This window comes from Homo sapiens, chromosome X, assembly GCF_000001405.40.
Source record: "Homo sapiens chromosome X, GRCh38.p14 Primary Assembly".
NCBI classification, from domain to species: Eukaryota; Metazoa; Chordata; class Mammalia; order Primates; family Hominidae; genus Homo; species Homo sapiens.
In genome coordinates, this window is record NC_000023.11 from 155,227,168 (window position 1) to 155,241,421 (window position 14,254).

At 37.9% G+C, this 14,254-nt stretch overlaps 1 protein-coding gene across 4 annotated transcripts in view; it reads left to right on the forward strand.

The window, feature by feature from the left end:
- VBP1 (VHL binding protein 1) overlaps positions 1-12,674 on the forward strand; it is a 42,835-nt gene extending 30,161 nt beyond the window's left edge. For all 4 annotated transcript variants that reach the window (NM_001303544.1, NM_001303543.1, NM_001303545.1 and 1 more), the window contains 4 exons: positions 68-134; positions 1,217-1,315; positions 9,062-9,200; positions 11,605-12,674. In NM_001303544.1, coding sequence (NP_001290473.1) covers positions 68-134; positions 1,217-1,315; positions 9,062-9,200; positions 11,605-11,675 — 376 coding nt within the window. In that variant the 3' untranslated portion in view covers positions 11,676-12,674. The remainder of the gene's footprint in view (positions 1-67; positions 135-1,216; positions 1,316-9,061; positions 9,201-11,604) is intronic.

Genomic DNA, 14,254 nt, shown 5'->3' on the forward strand with positions numbered 1-14,254 from the left:
GTAAGACCGTGTCCTGTTGTTTATTTTTGCCTGCAAAATACTAAGTTACTCTTTTTCTTGTTCACAGGCTAAAAGGTCAGATTCCTGAAATTAAACAGACTTTGGAAATTCTAAAATACATGCAGAAGAAAAAAGTAAGTGCATTTTTGTTTGTAAATATGAGCAAGCTAGGATATGTCAGCAGAAACTCGTCTTCTTTGACTCTTTGGTCACTGATATTTGATCTGTGCTGTGGAATCCAGTCTGCCTTCTTAAGCACATACACTAATGTTATGATGTGCTTCTGTAGCAAATGTGGCTTTGTGGCCTTCCCCCAAAAGTCAAGTTTAATTCTAGGGCCCACACTTGGATTACTTTGCTTATCTTTAGTGCTTGTGAAACTTAAATGCAATTTGAAATTGTTTTAGGTGTACAAAGAAAATGTCTTATTCTGTGCTAGCAGCATCTAGGGTTTTTTCTTTGTTGTTGTCTTTCTCCCTAAGAATAAGGAGTTAGTCCAAGATTTATAGAGCTGGAACGAATCTTAGAGATCATCTGTTACAGGTTCTCATTTCATAGTTGAGGAAATGGTTATGGAGAGGTTATACTCGACCATTGTCTATGTAGTTAGTTACTGGCAGAACTAAATTTGAGAGTCTTCTAAGTCTTAATCCAGTATTCATTAAATAAAAGCAGGTTGTAAAGATTAAATCTCATAAGCATATTGTATTTAAAAGATTGTGTGTATGCTTATGATTTTGCTTGACTGGTAGAATAACTATTTCTAGTACATTTTAATATGTGGTGAACTTTGTAAGACTTCAGCAACTGATTGATTGGGCATGAAGCACCAATGAAATAATAGAAGAATGGCTAATTCTTACAATAATGCCTTCTCTGTATGTCAGGCACTCGGGGGTGTGTGTGTGTCTGTGTATACTCAGTGCTTACCACTGACTTCATAGGTGTAGGGACTGTTGTAATCCTCATTTTACAGATGAAGAACCTGAGATATAGAAGTTAAGTGAGATGCCAGATTTGTACAGCTAGTGAGTAGCTGAGCCAGAGTCCATACCCAGCCACCTGGGTCTAGCATTCATTTCTTTTACCACTACACTTAGCCTGCATGATGGTACTGTTTTAAATGTCCTAGGTTCAACTGTGCAATCTCTCCTTTATAACCTTGGTATCAAACTGGCCTGTTTATGGTACTGTCATTTTTTTTTTTGTTTTGAAGGAGTCCACCAACTCAATGGAGACCAGATTCTTGCTGGCAGATAACCTGTATTGCAAAGCTTCAGTTCCTCCTACCGATAAAGTGTGTCTGTGGTTGGGGGTAAGTAAATGTTATAGCCACAGCTGATATATTTGTAAACCAGTGTGTTTTCTGTAGCAAACACACTGGTTTTGCTAGTATTTGCTAGTATTTTAGTAGTATTGCTCGAGATATGTAAAGTGTTCATCTCCTTTTGATTGTGGAAGGGACAAAGGGACAGAGTCCAAGTGGTTCATATTAGAAATTGACTAGAATCAGAAGTGCGATGAAGATCGCAGTAAAAACATACTGAAGTCTCTCCCAATCAAGATAAAACTGATCAAACAAACCCTGCTTCTCTTCCAGTTAGTGCTTTATCTCTCTTAAATATAATGGAGGAAGAGCAATAGAAGTAAAATAGAAGGTACTGCTGAACTTTAGATAAACGCTTCTTCCCATAAGAGTTTAATAATTCTAGAAAGATCCCTCTCAATTTAAGGGGAAAAAGAGTATTGCAAAAAGTTTGAGGTTAGAGTTTATTTTTTAAAACCATGTATTTCAGTTTTAGATGATTTCATTGAGCTTATCTGTGATTTACCTATTTTGCTCTTCTCAGTCCTCTGACTATCCAGCTACCTGTCTGTGGATCTTGTTACCTCAGGCAAGTTCTCATACAAAGTAGCAAGCCAAGTGTACTTCTACCAGCTGTCCTACGGGGAGGATTTCCCCTAGCTGCTGTCCTGTAGGATCACTCTGGAGAGGCACTCTAGATTAGCCCAAGGAGGTTTGCTCAAAGTTTGTACAACATTTATATTTCACTCTACAATCTGCATTTCAGTATTTATCTTTTATAATTTATCACTAAGGCTTTTTAAAAAATAACTTTGAAGCATAGCAACTACACCTGAGTGTCCAAGGATTCAATGATTTTCTGTATTCAGTTTTTTTGTAGAAATTGCATGACCTTTTGATTCACAAATTCAAGTGTTACTTTATTTCAGGAAAGATAATTTCTGTTGTGTACTTGAATGTGACTTTTGCCCCATTTCTTTTATTATCTTTTGGGAATAATAAATATGCATATGTTCGATCTCCTTTATCTGTTTTCAGTACCTATCATGTTCTCTGTTTTCAGTTATTCGATGTGTTTCATTCTGTGTGATTTCCTCTGGCTGCTTCCCCATGACTTTGTGTTTTCCCTGGTAGTTATTCTGTTTTGTTGCTTTTACTCTGTCTTTTGTAACTGTTCTTCTGTTTCTCTTTCTCTTCATTTTCTTTGCTGAGCTCTTCTTGCTCTTTTCATGTTTTTCTTCTTTCATTCCTCTTGAATGTTTAAATCCTCATTTCACCACTCATAGACTGGCACTTCCCACAATCTTCTCCATCTCAGTAAATGGCAGAATCTTTTGCCTGGTTGCTCAGAACAAAAATCTTTGAGTCTTCTTTGACTCTTCTTTATTTTATATCTCTCAACCAGTCCTTCAGCAAACCCCACTGGTTCCTTCTTCTGAATAGATTGAGAAGCCAACTATCTCTCACTTCCTTACTGCTGTTACCATGGTCCAGGCCACCTTTGTCTCTTGCCAGGACTGTGGGAATACTGTCTATTAGTTTTTAGGGATGCCATAATAAAATTACCACAAACTGGGTGGCTTTAACAACTGAAATGGACTGTCTCATGGTTCTGGAGGCCAGAAGTCCGTGATGAGCCCCAGAATCAGGGTCGATTCCTTCTGAGAGCTGTGAGGGAAAATCTGTTCTAGCCTCCTCTCTTAGCTTTGGTGTTCGCGGACAGTCTTTGGCATGTTGATGTGTAGAAGCATCACTGTGATCTCCGCCTTCATCTTCACATGTGTGCATGCATGTGTCCAAATTTCTCCTTTTGAAAGACCTTATCTCCAAATAAAGTCACATTCTGAGCTACTGGGGGTTAGTAGTCCAACTTATTTTTTGTTGGGGAGACAGAATTCAATCCATAATACCTTACTTCCACGTAAGGTCACATTCGCTAGTATAAGGGGTTAAAACTTAAATGTATCTTTTTTGGGGACACTGTTTAACCCATAATAATACCCTAATTCACTGTCTTGCTTCTGCCCTTGCTGGAATTCCTAAAGTCTTTCCAGCACAGTGGTCAGATTAATCCTTTGAAATCTCAATCAGGTCATTCCATTATTCTGCCCAAAATCTTTGAATGGTTTCTTATCACATTCCGAGGAAAAGTCCAAGTTCTTTGAGTGGCTGACAAGTTCCTATACATCCTGGTACTCTCTGTTACTTCTCTCTTTTTTTTTTTTTCTGAGACAGAGTCTCACTCTGTTGCCCAGGCTGGAGTACAGTGTTGTGATCTCAGCTCACTGCAACCTCTGTCTCCCGGGCTCAAGCGATTCTTGTGCCTCAGCTTCCTGAATAGCTGGGATCACAGGCACGTGCTACCATGCCCAGCTAAATTTTTTGGTAGAGACGGGGTTTTGCCATTTTGGCCAGGTTGATCTCGAACTCCTGGCCTCGGGTGATCTGCCCACCTTGGCCTCCCAAAGTGCTGGGATTACAGGTATGAGCCACCGTGTCCAGTCTCTCTGTTCTTCTCTTACTTCCTCGCTTGGCCACACTTGGACTTCTTGCCAGACTTAGAGCATGCTGGGAATGGCCCTGCCTCAGAACCTTTATTCTAGCTCTTTCTTCTGCTTAAGCTGCCAGAGTAGTGCTTTTAAAACATGTCAGATGATTCCGCTTTTCTGCTCAAGACCCCAGTGGTTTCCCTGTCACCAAGGGTGGAATACAGAGGTGTCCTTTCCACAGGACAGCCCTACTCCCTCTCAGCACTCATTTATGCTCATTCTTTTGCTCACTCTGCTGTAGCCATGGTGGCCCCCTAACTGTTCCTGGAACCTGCCAGTGTGGCCCCACATTTCTACTTCTGTGTTCTTCACACTCAATCCTTTGAGTTCTCAGTTCTGATTGTTAGCTCCCCCAGGGACCTGCTATGACTTGTCTGTCAGCATTTCTTGGTTTCACTTGTACTGTTTATCTTGTATTGTTTTCCTTCAAAGTACTTAGCACTCCCTGATATGTTATTGATTGGTGTATTTACCAGTTCCCTGACACATAATAAGTGCTCAGTAAAAATTTTTCTTGGGTGAATGACATTTTTGTTAGTTTTTCATCAGAGTTCATACATGCTAATGGTTCAAAGAGCAAATAGAAAGCAGCAGGCTACTGCTCCATCCCCAGATGCACCCACTTTTAATCATGTCTGTACATCTGTATGTACCTAAATATTTGGAATTTTGTTAATTGTTTTTACAAAAATGGGATATATATTGTATATTGTTCAGCACAGATGTCTTTATTTGTGAGTAGACACAGAGTTTGCCTCCTTGGTTTTATTGGCTTACTATTCTGTGGTAGGGCTATGTGATAATATTCCCAAGTCAAGGGGTGTTTGGATTGTTTTAAAATTTCTTGTACAGTGAGCGGTGCTGTAGTAAATATTTTTGCACATATAGACTTGTATACAAAGGCATATTTTTGTATGCTGCTTTGAAATGGAATTGTTGTGTCTAAGAGTATGCACATTTAACATGTTGATGGATACTATCAAATTGCTCTCCAGAAAAGACTACCAATTTTCATTTTCTCCAACCGTATATAAAAATACCCTTTTATTAACAGTCTCACCCACATTTTTAGATTTTTGCTAGTTTTATAGGTGAAAATAGTATCATCTTATAGGTTTTTGTATGACAAAATGCTCATTTGTATTTCCTCTTCTGTTTCCCTTCCTGACTATGTTGTTGCTCCATTTTTCTGTTGGATTCTTTTTCTTTTTTTTTTTGATAGACATTTAGGTCTTCTTTATATATTATGTATTTCGGATGCACAGTCTTCTCTTAATATTGCAGATACTTTTTCTCATCTGTCACTTGTCTTTTGTGGTAGCTCTTAGAAGTTTTAAATTTTAATGTAATCGACTTTATCAGATATTTATAATTTTATCTTAACAGTGTACTCCTTTCACCAAATCTGCAAACATTTTTTTCCTAATATTTATATACTTAAATTTTTTAGAAAACTTTTTTGTTAAGGATAACATGGAAAGATAAGCAACTCCTCAGGATAATGGGTGAGTGACTTCCAAAAAGAGGGCCTCCCAATGGCCAGTAAACATATGAAAAGTTGTCCCACTTCATTAGTAAACAGGGAAATGCAAATTAAAAGCACAATGTGATCTCACTGTGTACCCACCGGAATGGTAGGGTGATACTAAGTGATGGTAGGACATGGAATAGTGAGAACACTGATTTACTGTTGGTGAAGGTGTAAATGGACACAGCCACTGGGGAAACTGGCAGTATCTGTTAAAGCAGAACATATGCATTGCCTATGCCATAGCAGTTCCATGCCTGTCTCTATCTCTTTCTGCCTCTTGCTGTATATAAGAAATGTATAAATATTAACTAAAAGAAAGGTATAAGAATGTTCATATCAACTCTGTAGTAACCAAAACCTGGAAACAACCCAAATGTTCATCATAGTCGAATGGATGAGTAAATCATGATGTGTTCAGACTGTGGAATACTATACAGTACAGAGGAGGAATGAACTGCTGCTACACGCCAGCACTGCAAGGGTGATTTTCACAAACAAGGTTGAGTGAAAGAAACTGCATAGCAAATTACCACAAACTCAGAGGCTTAAAACAATATCCATTATCTCCTAGCTGTATAGGTCAGAAATCCAGATGGGCTTGGCTGGGTCCTCTGTGCAGGGTCCCACAAAGCCAGAATTAAATTGTCAACAGGGCTGTATTCCTTACTAGCATCTCTGGGGGAGAATTAGATTTCAGCCTTATTCACGTTATTGGCAAAATCCGGTTCTCTGTGGTTGAGGTCCCTGTTTCCTTGCTGCCTGTCGTCCAGGAGTCAGTCTCAGCTTCTAGAGGCCACCTGCAATCCTTGGCTCATGGTCCTTTCTGTTTTCAAAGCAGTGATATGACTAGTCTTTCTTACACTTTAGATCTTTCAAACTTCTCATTCTGCTGCCAGCCAGAAAAAGTTCTCTGCTCTTAAGGGCTCATATAACTAGATTAGGCCTACCTAGGCAGTCTGTATATTAAGGTCAGCTCTGACAAATGATGTAAATATCTCATCAGAGTCACAGATTCCAGAGATTAGAATGAGACAGCTGTTATGGGAGCCATAATTCTTGCCTACTATAGAAGTCAGTCACAAAAGAGCACATATACTGTGTCATTCTGTTTATGTAAAGTTGTAATACAGGCAAAACTATGCTGTAAGTCAGGTTAATGGTTACCTTTGCGGTGGGGGTGCTGGTGGTAACTGAAAATGTTCACAAGGAAGCTTTGGGGTGTTGGTGATAACCTGTCCTTGATCTGGATGCTGGTTCCATGAGTGTGTTAAGTTTGTGAAAATACATCAAGCTATATATTTATGATATGAATACTTTTCTATATGTATATAATATTAAATATAAACAAAAAAATCAGAAAACTGCATAAAGCAAAGTGTAAGTGAACGAATCTGTTGTCAGGGTTCAACCGGAGAAATAGAACCAGTAGGATATAGCTAACCTGCATAAACTTGTGTGCAAAGGTTCAGGTTAATATGTGTGTACCTCATGGTTTCATACTGTTACCTCCAATTCAAATTCAGGACAACAGAGTTTTCACTTTAGTTGTTCCTCTGTTTTTTTTTTTTTTTTTTTTTTTTTTTTTGAGACAGAGTCTTGTTCTGTCGCCCGGGCTGGAGCGCAGTGACGTGATCTTGGGTCACTGCAACTTCCGCCTCCTGGGTTCAAGTGATTCTCCTCCTTCAGCCTCCTGAGTAGCTGGGATTACAGGCACGTGCCACCACGCCCAGCTAATTTTTGTATTTTTAGTAGAGACGGGGTTTCGCCATGTTGGCTAGGCTGGCCTTGAACTCCTGACCTCAAGTGATCCACTCATCTCAGCCTGCCAAGTGCTGGGATTACAGGTGTGAGCCACCGCGCCTGGCCCCCCTGTTTCTTCTATATCAAGAATCCTGGTTTTCAGAAATACCAAGGGTGATAGAATTAAGCTAGACAACATTACTATTCACACGCAAAGCATTCTTAGAATAACACCACCCAACACTGTTACCACTGACATTTTTGCATATGTTCTTCCTGTCCTTACACATTCTTTATAAGGTTGTTCCCACATTGTTGGAGCACAGAGCCATTATATACTGTTTGCTCTCTCTCTTTCTCTCTCTCATCTTTCATTTATCCTAGTTCTTCGTGTAAATATTGAATGCACATCATAGTCTTTATGTTGATGTCCCCCCAGTCATCATCCAGTCATTTTGATTGTATGTTACTCATTCGTCTGATAAGTAGATTGCCTTAAGATTTATGGGAATGATATTCCCTGAGTTATCTCATGTTGCTGACAACTTGTCTGTGGCCTTTGTACTTGAAATTCAGTTTTGCTGGATATAATATCTTAAACTCACATTTTATTTCCTTGAGCATCTTATACAGTGCCCCATTTTCTTTTGTTGTAAAGCATCACTGTCAAAAAGTGTGAGGGCAAACTGATTTCTTTCTTCTATGAGTGATGTGTTCTTTTTGCCTGGATGCTCAAAGGACTTTTGGGTCAGTTTCCCCCAGGTATACAAAGTACCCTTTCATTTCATTTTGCGTGTCATTTCACCCAGTGTGTGTGTGTGTATGTGTGTGTGTGTGTGTGTGTGTGTGTGTAGTATGTGCATGTGTCACATTTCAGGAACATTTTGTTGAAATGAAGGATTTAGAAATTTTTTTGGTCCCCTGCTTTGGTTTTTTTTTCTTTGTGGATTCTTGTTATATTTATGTTCAGTCTTTGCTTATGTTGAATATTTTTGTCCTATCTGAATTTTAATACAGTTTTCTAATTATGGATTGGATTATTTGGTCAATAAGTATTTATTTGGCATTTACTTTGTGCCAAATACTTTCATGTTGTCTTGTTTAATCCTTACAACAATCCTTTGAGTAATTTTAAAATTGCATTTGTGAGATGAGGAAAGTGGTTTAGGAAATGCCAGTGGTAAGTCAGGTGATAGGGAGAGTTCAAAGCTGTAAAAGGTGTGGCTTCCCAATTCCAGGGTACATGCATCCCTGAATGTTGGCAGTAACACTAGATCTTCAGAATGACAGACACATTACCTTGTCTTAATCCCTAACATCTGTCAGAAGTAGTAGGAAGGGACAGGTAAAAGCTAGCTGTCTTTTTTACCTGGTCAAATATAGATGATAATAAATGTCTTTGAAAAATTTTAAATTAATATCATATCTCAAGCTCAGAATTTATTTAAATTGATACAAACAACACTATTTAGTTTCACGATGGAGGTAGTAGAAAGATAGGATTTTGTATCTAAACATACTGGTTTCTTATCCTGATTCTCCCATTTACCCACTAGCTATGCCAGCTAAGGAAACCTGAGCCTTCATTTCTTTAACTGTGAAGAAGACAACTTTGGCCTCAGCAGGGTTGAGGATTAAATGATACAATGTATGTAAATATATTCTTTAACCAAGGGGTCAGCAAACTTTCTGTAAAAGGTCAAATGGTAAATATTTTTGGTTTTGTAGATCACATGGTCTCTGTCTCAACCACTCAGTTTTGCCATTGTGGTATGAAAGCCTGAGTAGAGAATAGCTGGGCTCCAGTGAAACTTAACTTACAACAAAAGGCAGCAAGCTGGATTTGACCTGAGGGCTGTAGTTTGCCCACACTTTACTCTAACCTATAAAGCTCTGTGTAAATATTGAGTAATTGTCATGACTTTCTCTCTTCAGGCTAATGTAATGCTTGAATATGATATTGATGAAGCTCAGGCATTGTTGGAAAAGAATTTATCGACTGCCACAAAGAATCTTGATTCCCTGGAGGAAGACCTTGACTTTCTTCGAGATCAATTTACTACCACAGAAGTCAGTATCCTTTCTTAAAACAAAAAGCAAGGGAAAAAAGGAGAAAGATTTTTTTAAAAAAACATTCTTTCATGGGCAGAGGGAGAGCATTAGGAAAAATAGCTGATGCATGCTGGGCTTAATACCTAGGTGATGGGTTGATAGGTGCAGCAAACCACCATGGCACACGTTTACCTTTGTAACAAACCTGCACATCCTGCACATGTACCCTAGAACTAAAAAAAAATTAGAATACAAAAAACCTCCCACATTCTTTCTTACATTGCTTTAGTGGGAAGAATTTCCTTATTAGGCTAATATAAAGGTTATAGATTTTATAAGATAATAAATAAGATATTCGGAACTAGTACTTAAATAAGTTTGTAGATAGATTAGTGATTTTGAAATGTGATGTGGAAACAGCAAATTCACATAGGTGAGTAAGTATTTTTCTTCCAAATATTTTCCCAAGACAACTTTATAACTGGTTAAATAGTTTAATTTCACAAGCATTTAAGGGTCTCCTATGTTCCTGCAACTGTGCTAAGACATATGGGGCATGAAAATCAATTTTAGAAAAGAGTGGCAGTGCCTTTCTCTGGTAGAACTGTACATGTAAAACAGCTGAATGATAATTCATAGCAAACTATAAGTAAGTTAACATATGCAACACCAAGGCAATTTAAACTTTGGGAAAGATAGATGTAGGCTGGACTTAGTTCAAAGAAGGCTTTGTTGAGAAGATAAAAGTTAGGCTGCTTTTTTAAAGGCGGCGTAGGGTTTAAAGATCAGCAGAGAGAAGAGGTGGGAGTGGGGTATTCTGGTCAAGGGGGAAGGCAAGCTCTTTGCCTTTCTTCTCTGGCCTGTCTTTTCCTCCTACTTCCTGTCACAGTCACTCAAGACAAAATCACGGGAGTCACCTTTCACACTTCTCTCTTCCTCACTACCAATAATAAATCAGTCGCCAGATTCACATCAAATTTCCCTCATAAATCTCTCTGCCCATTACTGTTCTCGTTCTGGGGCTCCAAAACCTGCACTCAGAACCTTTTTAGGTTCCTCTCATTCCATCTGTCCTTCCCACTATCTCTAGTATGAATTTACTAGGTCACTCATTTTTATTCCTCTGGTTACAATATTTCAACGGTTCCTTGTTACTTACAAGATATACATATAGGCACTCTTGTGAAGTGCCCCCAGCTTGTCTCACCTCATGCCACTGACCTCTTCTTGCCTTTCCCCAGTGCATTCCAGGTTCCAGATAACCCCAGTCAGTTATTGTACACACTCCCCAATTGTGCCACACCCTTTGCATTTCTACACTTTGTTCCTCCTAACTGGAATGACTTTCCCATATTTACAGGATGTGCTCTTTTTTTACCCTTTTACCCTAAATATCTCAGTCCAAGCATCAGAGCTTTCCTGAACATTTTCTGATCCTCAGAGTGTTTCTTGTGTGCTTGCTTAACACATACTGCTTAGTTTTACCTTGCCAAACCGTGAGCTCTTCAGATGTAGGAGCTGCACTTTCTCTTCTTTTCCAGTGTGCAGCATGTGGCAGTTGTTTATGGTTGGCTGAGGGAAGGCAGGCCTGTTGGGGCCTAGTGCAGTGGTCATCATCATCTGACGGGTAGTGTGGAAACTTCATCCAGCTATGAGATGACGAGGGCCTAGGACGGGTGGCTTGTGGAAAGGAAAAGATATTAAACGTGTGAGAAAAAAACAGGATCCAGTGACTTAGATGGGTACAGGAGCCAAAAGTGAGGAAATCCTCTAAGATGAGTCCTACAAGCTTAGTTAAATGCCATTTGTTATTGCTAGTACTGCAAAAGGTAGGAAAGGAAGGTGTGCAGACAAGTGAGGGAGCTAGGGTGGACAGTCTCTGTTACATTGACATTCTACTGGAGTCTAAGCTCCACGAGGAAAAGAACTTCACCTGTCTTATTCAGGTCAGGGCTTTGTACAGTGCCTAGTCAAAAATACAGTAGATGCTTAATAAACTTGTTAAGCCAAAGGGAGGGTAAGAGATAAAATTATTGATAATTGTAATAATATAAATATTACATGGCAGGATATGGGTTGAGTGATCTTTCAGATTTCTTGGATGAGGGACTGTCTTTAAAACTATCGAGAGTGTCTAGTACATATTTGTTAAATATATCATAGTTGACTAGCTGACAGTTGACTAATACCATAGTAAACAATGGGTTAACAATTAATTTGAGTCCTTAGTTTTGATAGAGTTTAATTATAGTATTTTCCTAACAATTGACATTATAGCAGGATGTCTTACAATACTATTTGTTACCAGTATTTGTATATGTTTCATTTCTGTGTCTTTGATTCATTGTGTGAGTGGAGTGAATACTTAGTCATTGCATGCATTATCTTTAGAATTGCATTTGCATTTTCTTTGACAATTCTTGCAGATATGGCCAGGGTTTATAATTGGGATGTAAAAAGAAGAAACAAGGATGACTCTACCAAGAACAAAGCATAATGCTGGCAATTAAAAATGTGGTTTAGTTTTCCAAACATGTTATCTTAAATACCCCTTTATCCTTACAGGTTGACATAACTTTGAATGTTTTAACAGCAAGAATTTTAAGAAAAGATAAACACCATTTTATTTATTTATAAAAACAAAATTAGTTTCAAATATTTTTGACATTGTGATTTTTTTTTCCACATTTCTCAGCAAAGCTAATGGTATTTTAATCATTATTTTTGCCTGTCATAAGAAAACTCTTAGCTGAAATGGCCGAAAACTGTGAGACATGCTATGGAAGCTGAATGCCGGACGCTAGCACAGTTTACTTTTTCCCTTTCTAATTGGCTGATGTTACTCTCACTTGATGTGGTTAAACCATTTTAGAGGTAGAGAAGACAGACAGTTTGAATATTTGTAAACTTGTTTTTCTTTGGTATATTTAGGACTTAGTGGTCCTCTGTTGCTATTGTCTTCTATAAGTGGAGTTTCATGACTTACTGCTTAACGAATAACTAACTACTATGATATTCTGGACATTTTAGGAAATGGTAATTTGCCTTGCTACACATTAAGAGGGCTATTAAGACTACATTTTTTCTAACCTCAGATAAGTGCAGTGTCTTTGCAATGCCAACATAAGGGAGATCTTGGCCAACGTGAAATAAAATTACTCATTCAAAACTCTGCCTAAGGTGATTTTGTAGTTCTTAACAGTTCTCCAGAGCATCTTGAACAGGAATATTAAGATAAATGTGAATCTGCAATGGCTGAAAAGAGTTGTGAGCTTTTTTATTCATGATAAAACCTTATAGGAATAGTATAAAAAATCCCTGTGGAAAGCTACTAGTACATTGACCAGCGCTGGGTGATACAGATTCTGATAAAAACATAAATGTATTAGTTCATCTCCATGTAGTAAAAAGTATACTTATACAATGTTTTGTACTTGTATTTCATGAAATTAAAACAGTGATGCTAAAACTATGGCAGAGCACTTTTTTCATGTTACTCTTTGTCTTACTATGTTTGGGCTGCTATAACAGAATACCACAGAGTGGGGGGCTTATAAACAGCAGAAATTTATCTCTCCCAGTTCTGGAGGCTGGGAAGTCCAAGATCAAGGTGCTGGCAGATTTGGTGTCTGGTAAGGGCTGTGTCCTGGTTCGTAAACGGCACCTTTTCACTGTGCCCTCATGTGGCAGAAGGGGCAAGGAGCTCCCTTGGGCCTCTTTAATTTGGCACTAATCTCATCATGAGGGCTCTGCCCTTATGACCTACTCACCTCCCAAAAGCCCCACCTCCTAATACCATCACCTTGGGGGTTAAGATTTTAACATAACAATTTTGGGGTGACACAAAGATTCAGACAATAACACCTTTTTAAAGTTAACATGGGTCTTTTCACGTATTTGTAAAGTTTACTTGTACATATACTAGCATGTTCCAAGAACAACTTATATTTCTAGAAACACCATAAAATCCCTGTGGAAGGAATACAGATCTGCAAACAATTGAGAAGTTCATTGAAAAGATAACAGAATTTCCTTGATTGAATTTTTCTTTCATAATTTTAAATTCTCATATTTTAGAATTTGAGGTTTGTAAACATCTTGAGATATTGTATGTGCTCATTTTCCCCAAACTTTGTTATGGTAAGTATATATTGGTATGAAATGTTCCTGTTAATGTTAGAACAGGAATGGTTTGCTCCGAAGATCTTCATTTTGTCTTTGAAAGTATAAATATGGATTTTTAGGTAATTACAAGGACTATGAAGAAACAAAACTCTTTCGAGATATGAATTACAGGCCAAAAATTAAGGTAATTATTTAACATATTTAAAAACACCCATTATGGGTCAGGAACTGTGTTAGGCTCTGTTAATTAAATAAAGATATTTAAATCTTACCTCTGCCAGATAATTTCTGTTAGAGTGGTTTACATTTTCAGAATAACATAACCATCCTGATTTGACATATTTTGAAGTTTAATATTAGTATAGCGTACTAGGAGAGGATATGGGCAAAAGATTGACTACAGAACTTGATGCTGAGAAATGTGTTGGAAATGCAACTTAAATTGAACTGCTTTTCATTATAAAATGGATGTTCAGTTAAGAAAATTTAGAAAACAGGAAAAAAAGATGTTCTATTTGCAGTCCCCCTTGATATTTCTGTGTATTCTGTTTCTTTTTCTGTGCATAGGTTTTTTGAAAACATAGCTGAAATGATTTTGTCTTAATCCTACTTTCTTCACTTAGCATGAAATTTGTGGGTTGTTTTTAAAACTTTTTCTCTATTGTAAGTAGAGAACTGAGCAGTTTATGTTTACATAAGACTTTTTCTTATATTTAGGGTTTTTTCTGAGACTAGATTACCAGTGGAATTATGGAGTCAATGATCATAGTATATCATTACCTGGGGTTAACTGAAAGTATTGTTTAGTTAGATAGAACTTGTTTGACACAGAGGCTGTGAGGCTGATGAGTTTTCGAACAGGTATGTTGAGAATTGAGTGAAGCATCAACAGGCAAAAACTTAAGAAATTGTTTTTGTTCTCACCTTAAAAGCCCAGAATCATAGGTGTTT